Source organism: Homo sapiens, chromosome 1, assembly GCF_000001405.40.
Source record: "Homo sapiens chromosome 1, GRCh38.p14 Primary Assembly".
Taxonomy (NCBI): domain Eukaryota; kingdom Metazoa; phylum Chordata; class Mammalia; order Primates; family Hominidae; genus Homo; species Homo sapiens.
The window spans coordinates 174444373-174458485 of NC_000001.11; the positions used below are offsets into that span (position 1 = coordinate 174444373).

Below are 14113 nucleotides of genomic sequence, written 5' to 3' on the forward strand. Positions count from 1 at the left end.
TCTCAGGGATATTGGCCTCCTATAATTTTTTTTGTTGTATGTGTCCATGTCTGCTTTTGGTATCAAGATAGTGCTGGCCTCACAGAATGAGTTTGGAAGTATTCTCTCCTCTTAACTTTTTAAGAATAGTTTGAGTGGAGTTGGTATTAGTTCTTCTTTAAGTGTTTGGTAGAATTCAGCAGTGAAGCCATCAAGTTCTGGGCATGTCTTTGATGGGAGACTTTTTATTATTGCTTCAATCTCTTTACTCATTATTAGTCTGTTCAGATTTTCTATTTCTTCATGGTTCAATCTTGGTAGATTGTATGTGTCCAGGAATTTAGCCATTTTTTCTAGGTTTTCCAGTTTGTTGGCATATATATTTTTCACAAGTCTCCAATGATCCTTTGTATTTCTGTGGAGTCAATTGTAATGTCTTTTCATCTTTGATTTTATTTATTTGAGTCTTCTTTCTTTTTTGCTTAGTCTAGCTAAGGGTTTGTTGATTTTGTTTATCTTTTCAAAAAATCAAGTTTTTGTTTTGTTGATCTTTTTATGTTTTTTAGGACTTTTAAGAATAATAATAACCTATTTCGGTCCCATTTTCACAAGTCTGTGATTATAGGCAAGTTATACTTACTATCTCTACTATCTGCTTTCTTCATTTGGAAAATGATAATGATGATACCTACTTCATAGAGTTTTAAGATTTTTATAAAGGAAAAGTATATAATGCACACAGCACAATGCTTGGCATATAGAAAATACTCAACAAATGTTAGTTATCTTCCATTTTTATCTTAATTTTCCTGGTGTATTTTAATTCTGACATAATTTGTAAATTAGTTCTAAGTCACTTTTAAGAAAAATGCTGATCCCCTAAGAAGTTTAAAATAGTGAATGTTTGTCTGTAGTAAGTCAAAATAATCAGAAATGTTTTAATGTCCATCAAATATTTGATTAAATTAATTTGCATTGTTCTAATTTAGGTATGTGTAGCTCAAGCACTTAGAACAAATTTCTTTGACCATTTGACCTTTTTTTTCATATTAGGATAAAAAGTGGATAAGCAATGTTTTTATTTATTCTAATTTCTATGCTCTTTTGAGATCATATTTGACCTTCAGTATTGCTCTGAATAGATTTTGGTACAGTAGTGTTAGTTCTATTGCTTTGTTTGTACAGTTAAATACATCAAACTCAGCAATTTTTTGTGGGGGTGATGGGGATTGGAGAGATTAGTAAATGATTTCTAAGTTCTGTTAATTAAAATGTAACTATATATTTTAGAGAGAAGTTAGTAGTCATATCACTTTAGTTCATGAAGACTTGGCAAATTTTTAATAATTAATAAGTTTTTTCTGCCAATGAGCATTAGATTACTGCTGACTTTTTAGTGTCATAGTACCTTGTGGTAGTTTCTTTACAGGGTTTACAGGAGTATGGCAGTTTATTTTTTCTGTCTTGTCCATACGAAATAATCTTTACAAATGCTATAAGGAGAATACCTTGAGAAGTTCATAAATGCCTTAATATATTATAAAGATCGGTCAGTTCCATTGTCTTCTTTTGTCAGTCTTGATCGGAGCTTGCCGAGTAAGTCTATAAGCCTGCATGTGCCTGGCAACTGTTACCTAGTGACAGTTTCAGCTGCAGTAGCCATTGGCTGTGCTGTTGATTGGGGCAGGAGGGCCGAGTCACCTTTCTGATGGTGAGTTTTTCTGCATCAGCCCAGGATGAGGAGGAGGAGTAGGGCTTGGGCTCAGGTGGAGTCATTGATGCTGAGAGATTGTGAAGAATATACTGACAGCATCCTTGTAGCTGCATCACAGTAAATCGGACTTCTGAATCAAGCAGCCCAGCCTAGCAGCTGATAAGAGTGAATGTAGGTGAGAAGCATTACCTTATTCCTGTAACAAGAGAACTGTTTTGTGATAAGTGAAACTAGGAATGTAGAAGAAGAAATATCCTATGGCTATTATAAAAGAAGAAGGACTTGCCTGAATGACTTGGTGGTGCACCAGAAAATAACTTTCAGAAGAATGCTTTCTGTTAAGCTGCTGCATTGTTCCTGGAGGAAATGTTATTTCTAATGCATGTTATTTCTTCAAAAGATAGGATAACAAAGAATGACAGGAGACTCTCTGAAATGACTTCACTTTTAAAAAATACTTTGGCAAATGTTAACCTGATATCAAAATGACCTTGGAAGCATTTTGGATGGATTCTATCCTGGCAGCCTTGCAATGTTTCAAACTCTAGGATTTAAAGTTCATCTTGATACTTTAGAGGTATTTTAAAATAAGACTATCTTGCAACCTACCTAATGGCCCCTGTGTTAATTGAGCACTTGCTCAAAATAGAGTACAGAAAAATAGAAGAGGCATTTTTTAACATATGGCTGCTACATAACTGCAAATGTAATAAACAAGGTAATTTTCCACTTTCAGAAGATATAGTTGAAGTAATGATTTAATGTGTTAAATCATCTACTGAAAATAGAAAAGGTATAGCAACATAGAACATGAAGCCTATTAGAAATACCTAAGTAATAAATAATGGCAGCATTTCTGGTCAAATAAGCTCGGAGTATATTGGAAAGTTTTATTGTCTAACTTTATATTTACATATATATGTGAGATATGGGTATACAGTTGCAAAGGTGAGAAATAACTGTGAGCTACATATTTTATTATCATGCTCCATTATAAGGAAGGTGGTATATGAAATAACAAATGTTATTTTAAGTTATAGATGCCAAATTAATAGCAAAAATAATTCATTTTGAAAAGGAAGAGGTATAAGTTACGTTGCTGTTAGTACCACCAGTAACTGTAATGGATTAAAACTGCTTTCATCTAAATGCTTTAAAAATGCATGCAGAATTAAAACTTCAGAAGTTTATTACATTTTGCCAGGTGTTAATTCATTAATTCATTGTATATTCTCTTTTCTATTGGAAAATACTTTTTTCTCATGAGAGTTATAGGGCAATCTGGAGTCTGTTTGTTACCTCTATTCTGCCCATGTAGAGATGAATCTTTTCAAATTAACTTTGATAGAGTTGTTTTTCTTAGATTTTAGAAAAATGAGAAATAGGTTATAAATTTGACCCCCCAACATCAATCCCTGAACTAAGCCCAAAGACACTCTTTGCCACAATGAACTTTTTCTTAGCTTTTCAACCAAATTTGAGATCTTAAATTATTTAAAATCTAAAATATGAATGCATTTTTCATCATAGATAAAGCAGGAAGCCTGAGACAGTTTCAGAGTTTTTCTTTTCTCATTCTTTCCAGTTGCTCCCTAAGAAACTGCCTCTCTTAGGAGAACAGCCCACAGAAGCTTTTCTTCCTTTGGCAATTCATTTTTTTTCTTTTTACAGATTTAATTTTTCATAGTGCAAGATAATAAGAAGTCTATTTTCTCTAGAAGTGCCTTATGTCTGCAAAAAGTTCTTTGAGGGCACCAGAGGAAACTAATTAGTGACCTCTTTTCACCTCCTTTCTAGCTTATCCCCTTCTCTCCACCCCTTACCGCCCCCCCCCCACCCCCCCGCCCGAAAGCTGAGGTGTGTCACTGCTGAACTGAGGCTGGTGAAGAGACTTGAGCACTCTCTGGGACTCTCAGCTGTGACAGAAGCACTGACACTGTCTACTGAAGCAGGTTCTGAAACACTCATGTGCGGTGTTTAACAGATGCTGGGCAGGGCATCTGCTTGCTGTAGCCAAGTCTGCAGGTGTCTTTAAATTTCCAAGCCATGAATGAATCCAGGTGGACTGAATGGAGGATCCTGAACATGAGCAGTGGCATTGTGAATGTGTCCGAGCGTCACTCCTGCCCACTTGGATTTGGCCACTACAGTGTGGTGGATGTCTGCATCTTCGAGACAGTGGTTATTGTGTTGCTGACATTTCTGATCATTGCTGGGAATCTAACAGTTATCTTTGTCTTTCATTGTGCTCCACTGTTACATCATTATACTACCAGCTATTTCATTCAGACGATGGCATATGCTGATCTTTTCGTTGGAGTTAGCTGCTTGGTTCCTACTCTGTCACTTCTCCACTACTCCACAGGTGTCCACGAGTCATTGACTTGCCAGGTTTTTGGATATATCATCTCAGTTCTAAAAAGTGTTTCTATGGCATGTCTTGCTTGCATCAGTGTGGATCGTTATCTTGCAATAACCAAGCCTCTTTCCTACAATCAACTGGTCACCCCTTGTCGCTTGAGAATTTGCATTATTTTGATCTGGATCTACTCCTGCCTAATTTTCTTGCCTTCCTTTTTTGGCTGGGGGAAACCTGGTTACCATGGTGACATTTTTGAATGGTGTGCCACGTCTTGGCTCACCAGTGCCTATTTTACTGGCTTTATTGTTTGTTTACTTTATGCTCCTGCTGCCTTTGTTGTCTGCTTCACTTACTTCCACATTTTCAAAATTTGCCGTCAGCACACCAAAGAGATAAATGACCGAAGAGCCCGATTCCCTAGTCATGAGGTAGATTCTTCCAGAGAGACTGGACACAGCCCTGACCGTCGCTACGCCATGGTTTTGTTTAGGATAACCAGTGTATTTTATATGCTGTGGCTCCCCTATATAATTTACTTTCTTCTAGAAAGCTCCCGGGTCTTGGACAATCCAACTCTGTCCTTCTTAACAACCTGGCTTGCAATAAGTAATAGTTTTTGTAACTGTGTAATATACAGCCTCTCCAACAGCGTTTTCCGGCTAGGCCTCCGAAGACTGTCTGAGACAATGTGCACATCCTGTATGTGTGTGAAGGATCAGGAAGCACAAGAACCCAAACCTAGGAAACGGGCTAATTCTTGCTCCATTTGAAGAGAGCTACATAGTAAATCAAATGTAATCTGACAGTGGTTTTGGATCATATTCTAGATTCATCTGGAAATTTGCCATCAGAGAAATATTTACTTGAATAGTTGACTGTAAAATGAAGTATGAGACTAAAGGTTTCTCTCTTTTTTTTTCTTTTTCATGGAAGAAACTAAAGGGAAGGATGTATAGAGGGTTAGCTCATGAAATAATTATAGCATGTGAGTATTAGTGTGCAGTAATAGGAAAAATTAAGCACTGAGATGAAAAAGAATATCTCAAATCTTCTGCAGGACATGAGCAAGCCCCTTGGCTCAGCATTTCTGTCTTTCTGTCTGACTGTACCCTGCCTCTGTCTTTCTCATTTTGTCTATGTTTCTCTCACTCTTTGTGGAAGTTATTACTTACATAAACTGCCCTTTGTAGAAAAGTGCTACATATTATATATGTGGTAAAGTATAATCTTTTGCATCAAAGTGTACCTTTAATCACACTAATCTATAATCCATAAGTGATCTCTTCATGGAGGATGCACAGTAAGCATTGCATTTTATTATTTGCCAAACAACCCCTTTGCTTGTGTTTTTATAATGTTCTCTGCAGCACAGTTTTTCTGCTATAAACAAATAGAAACAGTATTTTTGTTTCTTCTGGGTAAAATGACATTTGCTTTTCCCTGGTTTCCTAACAGTCTCCTGTTTTTTTTCTCTCTTTTTCTTGATCTGCATCCATTGGTACCTTACTTTAGAAGTGTCTTAGCTATTGAAAGAATCTACTGTATAGAGCATCCATGATGTTAAATAATGTATTTCTTCCAGCAAAGCAATCTGGTAGCTTATTAAATATTTTTAATGGCTTTTGGAAACATTTTTATCTGGTTCCTTTTAAATTAGTTCATGTGCTTAAAAGTGATGTCTTTTTTTTGCTATAGTAAAGCTTTGTTTTTCTTTAAGAAAACCCACTAGTAATTGTAATGCAGATGCAGGATACTCACCCAGCAGTGAGGTATTACTCTTAAGGGTACTTAGAATGCCCTTTTTAAAAATAAATAAATAAAATAAAACATGAATCTTTTTTGTGTTAGGTCTACGATAGCTTACTGTTGTGTCCACTAGTCAGTCATTTGTGTGATATGCGTTTGCACATACTATGTTTTTCACAGCAAAGAAAATGTAAATTATGTTATCTGTGCCTAACGTTTTCTTAGCAAAATATATAGATCAATGTTGTTTAAGTTGTCAACATTGGAAAAAGTATATACAAAAACCTATTTTAAGAGAAAAATACTTTTGTGTAATTGTTATTTAGATATTTATATTAGACAAAGCTGCATTTTTAGTGCCGCTGAGAATATAATATACTTAATTATCAAATACAGGTAAGAGCTGACAGTATTTTCTTTTGTAATGATCTGTTTTCAAATGCAGAGATTAACTTATTTTTTTGCCTGCTACATGGGGTTGTGTGATAAATTGTCAGGGGTTTAGATGTAGCAAAGTAGCATTTGGGGAATTAGCGAAGCAAGTATGAGCAGTAAAACATCTAAGTATTACTTTTTTACCATAAGTTTCTTGCCTGAAAGATATTTTAAAATTTATATCAAACTACTGAGTATTTTTCTTCTCAGCATTTTTGATTTCTTTGTTTTATGAAATGCATTTAATAAAATGTGCCTATGACTCTTCAAATTAGAAGCCAACCATGTTTGCACCCTGGTGGTTTGGCTTCAAAGGTCTTTTAGTAGAAATGTTGTCATTTTATTGAGGTTGTTCTGAACCCCTGTATATTTTTAAACATGTAAGAAAGATTTAAAATAAAGAATAAAATAATATTCTATATATCAAAATGAGACTTTGCCTCAGTTTAATAAAACACTTAGGACAAGAGTTTACTTTTTTGGGAATCAAAATCTGATTGTTTTATACTTCTGTAGCTTGGGTTTATATTTATTCTTGTCCCCTGTTTGCCAGTGGCATCTTGGTTTAAATGTGCCTTTTAAATTCAGACCAGTTCAAGGAAAACAAAGTTCAAGGAAGTGTACTGCTAACATTTCAGATATCACATATAAGACTTCTAAATTATACATATTATTTGGGAATCGTATTTTTATTTCTTTAAGGTATAAATATAGTTAGAAAGGACCCAGTGGATTCTGTGTACAGAAAGCCTGAGGCCATGCTTACTGCATTTTCCCCTTCTGGCTTTTCCCCATAGTAATTAATAACAATTATATGCCAGGCTCACTGTTCACTTTTACATGTGTTATACCTTAAATCCTCACTACAGCCTTTTGAGATAATAGTTATTATTTCCACTCCAGAGATAAGGAAACGAAAGAAAAATGATTATTCGTCAGTTAACTAGTCAATGGCAGAGGTTCCCGCCCATCCAGTAGGCCTGGGCCAAAGCCTGCCTGCTTCACCGGTAGGCTGCGCTGCTTTCATTTCAAAAGCCTTTAAATTTTTGTACCTCTGTCTGTACCTTTTCCCTACAATATTTCTCTGAGTTTTATTTATTTTTTTCTCATCGTAAGTCTTTTGCTTGAGTTCTTTTCTTGTCTTGTGATATCTTTTTCTTTGATCTTAAAAGTTTCTTTTATTAAAACAGCAATCTGATAAGCTCAAACTTACCAGTTTAGTCTATAATCAAACTGAAATTGTTGATATTACTTTGGTTTACTTTTGTTATTTCCCTTGAATACCTTTTTGAAATCTCTATCAATTTCTTTTTGGAAAAAAATTGTTTTGAAGAGGAAGAGTGAAAAGAAAGGCTTTATCATAGGCTGAAAGAGGCTGAATGAGGCAAATTCTGAGTTTATTTATTTACTATAGTATTTTATATACAACTCTAGGACAAACCACTTAACTTCCTTTTATCATATTTTAATGTGTTTGTATAATAAGCTAATCCTTATTTTGAAACCTCTCTTTTTAGGTAATGTGTTTTAAGAATAGGAAGCATAACCATTTTTCTCATCATTATATTGTATTTTGTGGTAATTATCCAGTTTGGCTATAAAAGACAGCCAAAAAACAATGCATTCTGTATTCTTTTTCCTAAGGGTTCTATTATTTGCATAGTTGTTTCTAGAGTTATAGAGTGTTGGAAAGCTTCATAATTGACACTATTAGTATATGAAACTTGGGCTGAGATCCAGGCCCTCATAAACTGCTTGGCCTTGGGTAAGATACCAAATGCTCCAAAACCTTAGTTTTGGCATTGATTAAAAAATCTTAAGTCAGAGACTTGTAGCTCTCTGTTTAGCTGAATTTGAGGACTAAATGAAATTTTGTAGTCTGTGTGCCCAGCATAGCTCCTGGCACATAAAAAGTGTTCAGAATATGGTAGCTGCTGTTTTTGTTTTGTTTTTTGTTTGTTTGTTTGTTTTGAAGTGGAGTCTTGCTCTGTTGCCCAGGCTGGAGTGCAGTGGCACTATCTCGGCTCACTGCAAGCTCCACATCCTGGGTTCATGTCATTCTCCTGCCTCAGCCTCCCAAGTAGCTGGGACTACAGGCAGCTGCCACCACGCCCAGCTAATTTTTTGTATTTTTAGTAGAGCCGGGGTTTCGCGGCGTTAGTCAGGATGGTCTTGATCTCCTGACCTCGTGATCTGCCTGCCTTGGCCTCCTGAAGTGCTGGGATTACAGGTGTGAGCCACTGCACCCAGCCGGTAGCTGCTGTTTTGTTATCTTTGTGGGTGCCATATTTATTAACATCACAACTTAAAGGTCACTAATCCCAATTCAAACAGGAATAAACCATTGAGCATTAGGGTTTTCTAAGATAGCATTTCTTTTTGCAAATCTATTTAAATTCAAATTTTGGGGTTAAACTCAGATATTTCAAGTATATTTCTGAAAGCTCGTTTCCCAGGAATAGTTATTCATGAAGACATCGTTTGAGATTAAAGATATCCAGCAAGCGGATGTTGTGATGAGACAGGCATGATTCTGAGGTTAACCTACCTCTTACTTTATTACACTAAATATGCTTAAACATTTTATTCTCGTTAGGGAAGTAATAATAGGAAGGATTGTCCAGGGATGTCTTGTCATTTGTCTTTGCACTTTAATTTTCCTCATTTATTAAAATGGGATTTGAAGTATTTTGTCATATATCTATTTCTTGGGAGAAACAATGATTAATAAGCTGATTTGCTCCATAGATAACATAAATTATGTGAATTTAAAGATAAATGAAGTTGCCTTAAAGGACCTTTCCTCTTTTTCTCCCCACGCTAGAAGGTAATCATTAGATGTGAAAAAGATACAATTACATAATAAGTAGATAAAAAAGATTTAGATGTGAGAAATCTGCTGGTATAACATTCTGAGCATAGATAGCATCATGTATGTGTAGGTAGGGCCATTTTGGTGCATAGGAGCATGTATGTGTTACTCAGTCAGTGCTGTACTCTGACGTGTAGGTTCCAAAAGATGCTCTTTTCCTTGAGCAGAAATTAACTTTATTTTAGATTGAGTGATATGTAGAAAGTGGTAATCCTGTAACCAAATACATAGATATTGAGGAAAACAAAATTGCTAGAGTAGAGAAAACAGTTCCTATTTTATGATTTCTCATAAATGGAAGTTTGATTCAGTGCTAGTCTTGCTCTGTATTTTAAAATATTCATAACTTTTTTCAATAGTAAAAGTGTTTTTTTAAAATATTAACATGATGTCATTAAGGTTTTTCTTCATGACTATTTTGTTTTAATTTTTTACAATGAGCATTGGTAAAAATTTCTTTTATAATCAGAAAAATTAATATTTGGTTAAAAAGAATGCTGAAGGCTGGGCGCGGTGGCTCACACCCGTAATCCCAGCACTTTGGGAGGCCGAGGCGGGCAGATCACGAAGTCAGGAGATCAAAGCCATCCCGGCCAAAATGGTGAAATCCCATCTCTACTAAAAATACAAAAATTAGCTGGGTATGGTGACATGCACCTGTAGTCCCAGCCACTCGGGAGGCTGAGGCAGGAGAATTGCTTGAACCCGGGAGGCGGAGGTTGCAGTGAGCCGAGATCGCACCACTGCACTCCAGCCTGGCAACAGAGTGAGGCTCCATTTCAAAAAAAAAGAAGAAGAATGCGGAATATTTAAAAAATATTTTAACATTTCACAAAACAGCTTATGTTGATAGTACAAATAACACTATCCAATAATGTCTCAATATTGTCTTATAAAGATAGGTTATATAGTTTTTCTGAGTTCTGTAATTTTTATTTCAGGTAGATTTTTACAATAAACTTGACAACCTTCTACTTGCAATAGTAGATGTTCTTGACTTATTTTTGCTTTAATGTAAACAGTTTGAGGTATTACTTGATGAATCTGAAATGGATCTCAATCACTGTAGGATTTTTTTTTTTTTTTTTTAGACAGAGTCTCGCTCTGTTGCCCAGGCTGGAGGGCAGTGGCGCTATCTCTGCTCACTGCAAGCTCGCCTCCCGGGTTCACGCCATTCTCCTGTCTCAGCCTCCCGAGTAGCTGAGACTACAGGCGCCCACCAGCACTCCCAGCTAATTTTTTGTGTTTTTAGTAGAGACTGGGTTCCACCTTGTTAGTCAGGATGGTCTCGATCTCCTGACCTCCTCGTGTTCTACCCGCCTCAGCCCTCCAAAGTGCTGGGATGACAGGCATGAGCGACCGCCCCGGCCCACTGTAGGATTTTTAAATGCATCATTCATGGCACCTTTCTGCATTTTTCACACCTTTAAACAACAAAAAGATGGCTCTGCGTTAGGAAATAGGCTCCAGCTGGTACATTACCTGCATTTCCTACATAGGCAGAATTCTCCAAAGAACATATTTATAATTTTTTAATGGTAACTTTTATTCTGCTTTTATATATGACTTTCTCCAAAGGTGAAGAAAATAACAGTAATAAATTTAGCAGGAGTCTGTTATGTCTGATAAATATTTAACATGAAAGGCACATATCACCACCTTCATTATAGTAAATGGAGCCAAATTAGTTTTTGAGATTCTAAAATTCTAAGGTTTAAGGTGATAAATATCAAGAAACGTAGTACATAATAGTAGAATTCATGAATGAAAATAATTTGCAAAAATTTGAAAACTTCCAAAAAGGATATTTTATACAAAAGAAATACCTATCATTGACTTAAACATTTGACCCCAGTTTTATTTTATTTTCTACTTAAGCAATTGTAAATAAGGTTGATGCCAGTTAAAAATGGCAAAATATATATTATAAATTCAATTATTTTAATTGCAAGGCACAAACAAGGTACAGAGTTGTATGACCTGTTCTTTAAATTTTTAAATTTATTTTTGAATAAAATGTGGACTGTAGCAAGAGATGTGCAGTAATTTTGTCTGAGATTATACATGACACAAAGAATGTTTATGTACATACTCTGTAAAGTATAGCTTTAAGATGTTTACTTATGTTCTTAATAGAGTTCTAAGTTTAATATAATTATTAGTAGATGGCGTATTTTTATAGAAATAACATCTTCACAATTATTCATTTACTTTTTCAGGAATTTTATAATTAAAAATGCTAAATTGGTAAGAAATTATTGGAAAACACTGCAAGTTGAAATTTGGAAACACTTATAACGCTTTTGAACATATATAATGCTCTTGACATTATAAACGAGGTCTATTCTAAAAGCTTCTGTGAGTAAACACTATCTCATTTCACATATAGGAATCTGAGATAAGATTTTTAAGTGACCCTAACAAGATCATGTCGTTTGACAAAGATACTACTGACGACGTGTCTTGTGTGACAATAATATTGCCTGTGATAAAGTTCTTGAATAATGTATTTATAGATGGCTGGTAATAGAGTGACCTGATATTTCTTTCTTGAGAAGAAAATGAAGACTTAGTTATTTGATATAGAAGAAATTCTATGTGAATTTTTTTCTTTTAATTTGTGACATAGGAAAAATTATTTTAAAATTAACTTTATGTTGGAGGTGTGATTTTTGAGATCATAGAAATTTTTAATCAGATGTATTATCAGGCTTGATCAGTGTTTTAATATTTCTTTTAACAGTTTTTTATCCATAGAGGGTAATAAAAAATTTACCTCTCCTTTTGAAAACACAGCAGTCATCTACTGAATATATTGAGATATGTAGAATAAATTGAAACAGTGTTTGCTGTGTATTCTAAACACTATAACCTTAATGATGAAGACATCAAAATCACGTTATATTCAAGTACCTACTTTTGGAAAGTACTAATTTTATAGTCATATACTTTATGTTTTGAATTTTTTTTTGTAATAGATTTGCAATGTTGTTGAGTCATCATCGGTTGGATTTTTCTCAGTCATTATGATGGACAAGATTTTGATGTTTCAGGCTATAGTGCTTTTGTATGTTTGTAATCTATAAATTATCAGTCAGGGAATCAGTGATTAGTTTGAATTAGTGATAAATAAAACCTTTTAAATAAGTAATTCAGTTTTATTTCAATGAAATAAATATAGTTACAGAAAAATTAAAGGAACTCAAATTAGGCAAACACAAAATTGCCTTGTAAGTGTCCTTAGAGGAAATCTTTCTTTAAGTCGTTTCTAGTGTCTGTATCAGTTGAATAAAAATGAGTTCCACTGAGTTATTTGAAAAGTTTATTCTCTTAAATATGTAAAATTTCCATAACAATTTATGCTACTTATTTAAACAGTTTGTAGGATGAATCATTGCAAAGTCCAAATTTGGATTTAATCTGAATTAACCAGATATTTTTGCATTTCAAATCTATAAATTAGGTCAATAAATATTTATTGACTATGCTATGTTAAGGGCATAAATTGTGGTTCTATAATAGTCCTGGACTCTTAAGAGTAACTCATTGAATTGTGTGAATCCAATAAGCAGGAAAATTAATTTCTAGAATTTGAGGGAGAGATTGCAGAAAAGTCATAGGAACTATGCAATACATTGTAGCGTTAGAGGGATTAACGCATTTTAGAATATGAATTGGCTTCAATATTTAGCCATGTGTTTGGATGCTATAGTTCTAAAGGATACCACAGGATATTTGAGAAGTTTTTGAAGTGAAAGGAGAGAAAATGTTCAATGTTCAGATTAGTACAAAAGTGTTGTGGGGAGAATACACAATAACTTTGGAATGCAGTGTAAGTAAAAGAAAATATTCTTTATGTGGATTATATCTGATTAGAGTAAAATCATCATTTTAGGTATAAATTATAAGCTTTGAGATTAGGACAATAATATTAACATGGGTAGAAGTAGCTTGAGGGATTGCACATAGGACATGTTCTACCAACTCAGGCATCATCTTTTTTTTTTTTTTTTTTTTTTGAGATGGAGTCTTGCTTTGTCACCCAGGCTGGAGAGTGATCACCAGTGTCACCCAGGCAGTGGAGTGATCTTGGCTCACTGCAATGTCCTCCTCCCAGGTTCAAGTGATTCTCCTGCCTCAGCCTCCCAAGTAGCTGGGACTACAGGTGTGTGCCACCACGCCTAGCTAATTTTTGTATTTGTAGTAGAGACAGGGTTTGACCATGTTGGCCAGGCTGGTCTCAAACTCCTGAACTCAAGTGATCCACCTGCCCTGGTCTTCCAGTGATGGGACTACAGGTGTGAGCCACCATGCCTGGCTTTAGGCATCTTCTTAGACCACTTTTTCTAGAGTTGTTTTCCTAATATTTGTCTTGTGATTACAAGTGAATGTCACTATATGCAGGTTATTATGACAGGCAGGTTTTAACTTCTCTGTCAATCAAGTTAATCATATGATGTAGGCCTAATATTTTGAATAATAGAATCACTCATTCTTTCATTTAAGTATTTATCAGGTTGCTATTGTGTGCCAGGGACTATTCTTAATTCTGTGTAAGATAAGGAGATTTCTAAGTAAAACAGATTTTCAGTTCTCCAAGAGCACTTAGACTACAAGGGGCTATATGGACTTTATATGGATAACTATAGGGCAAGATAGGAGCTGACAAATTACAGTCCGCTGACTATTGTAGATACAATTTTACTGGACCATAGCAGCACTCATTCATTTATATATTACCCATGGGTGCTTTTGTGCTACAATGGTAGAGAGTAGTTGTCATGGAAATGTTATGTTCTACAAAGCCTAAATATTTACTTTACAGAAAAAAATTTTTCAGAAAAAAATTTACAGAAAAAAAATTTTTTTCTGTACAGAAAAAAATTTGCTGATGCCTGGTATGAGACATTATAATGCCCTTTGTATGCTACTCACAGTAGAATGTTGTGCTTTTATGTTTGCTAAAGGATCTCATACGAAGGAGTGATTTCAACCTGATTCAGTC

The 14113-nt window shown here is 34.8% G+C and overlaps 2 protein-coding genes across 13 annotated transcripts in view; both read left to right on the top strand.

Moving 5' to 3' along the window:
* Positions 1-14113, top strand: part of RABGAP1L (RAB GTPase activating protein 1 like) — an 835789-nt gene that overhangs the window by 284853 nt on the left and 536823 nt on the right. The gene's annotated exons all lie outside the window — the stretch shown is intronic.
* Positions 3592-5173, top strand: GPR52 (G protein-coupled receptor 52). Its single transcript, NM_005684.5, has one exon. The coding sequence runs from the start codon at positions 3740-3742 to the stop codon at positions 4823-4825; it is 1086 nt and encodes a 361-aa protein (NP_005675.3). The 5' UTR covers positions 3592-3739; the 3' UTR covers positions 4826-5173.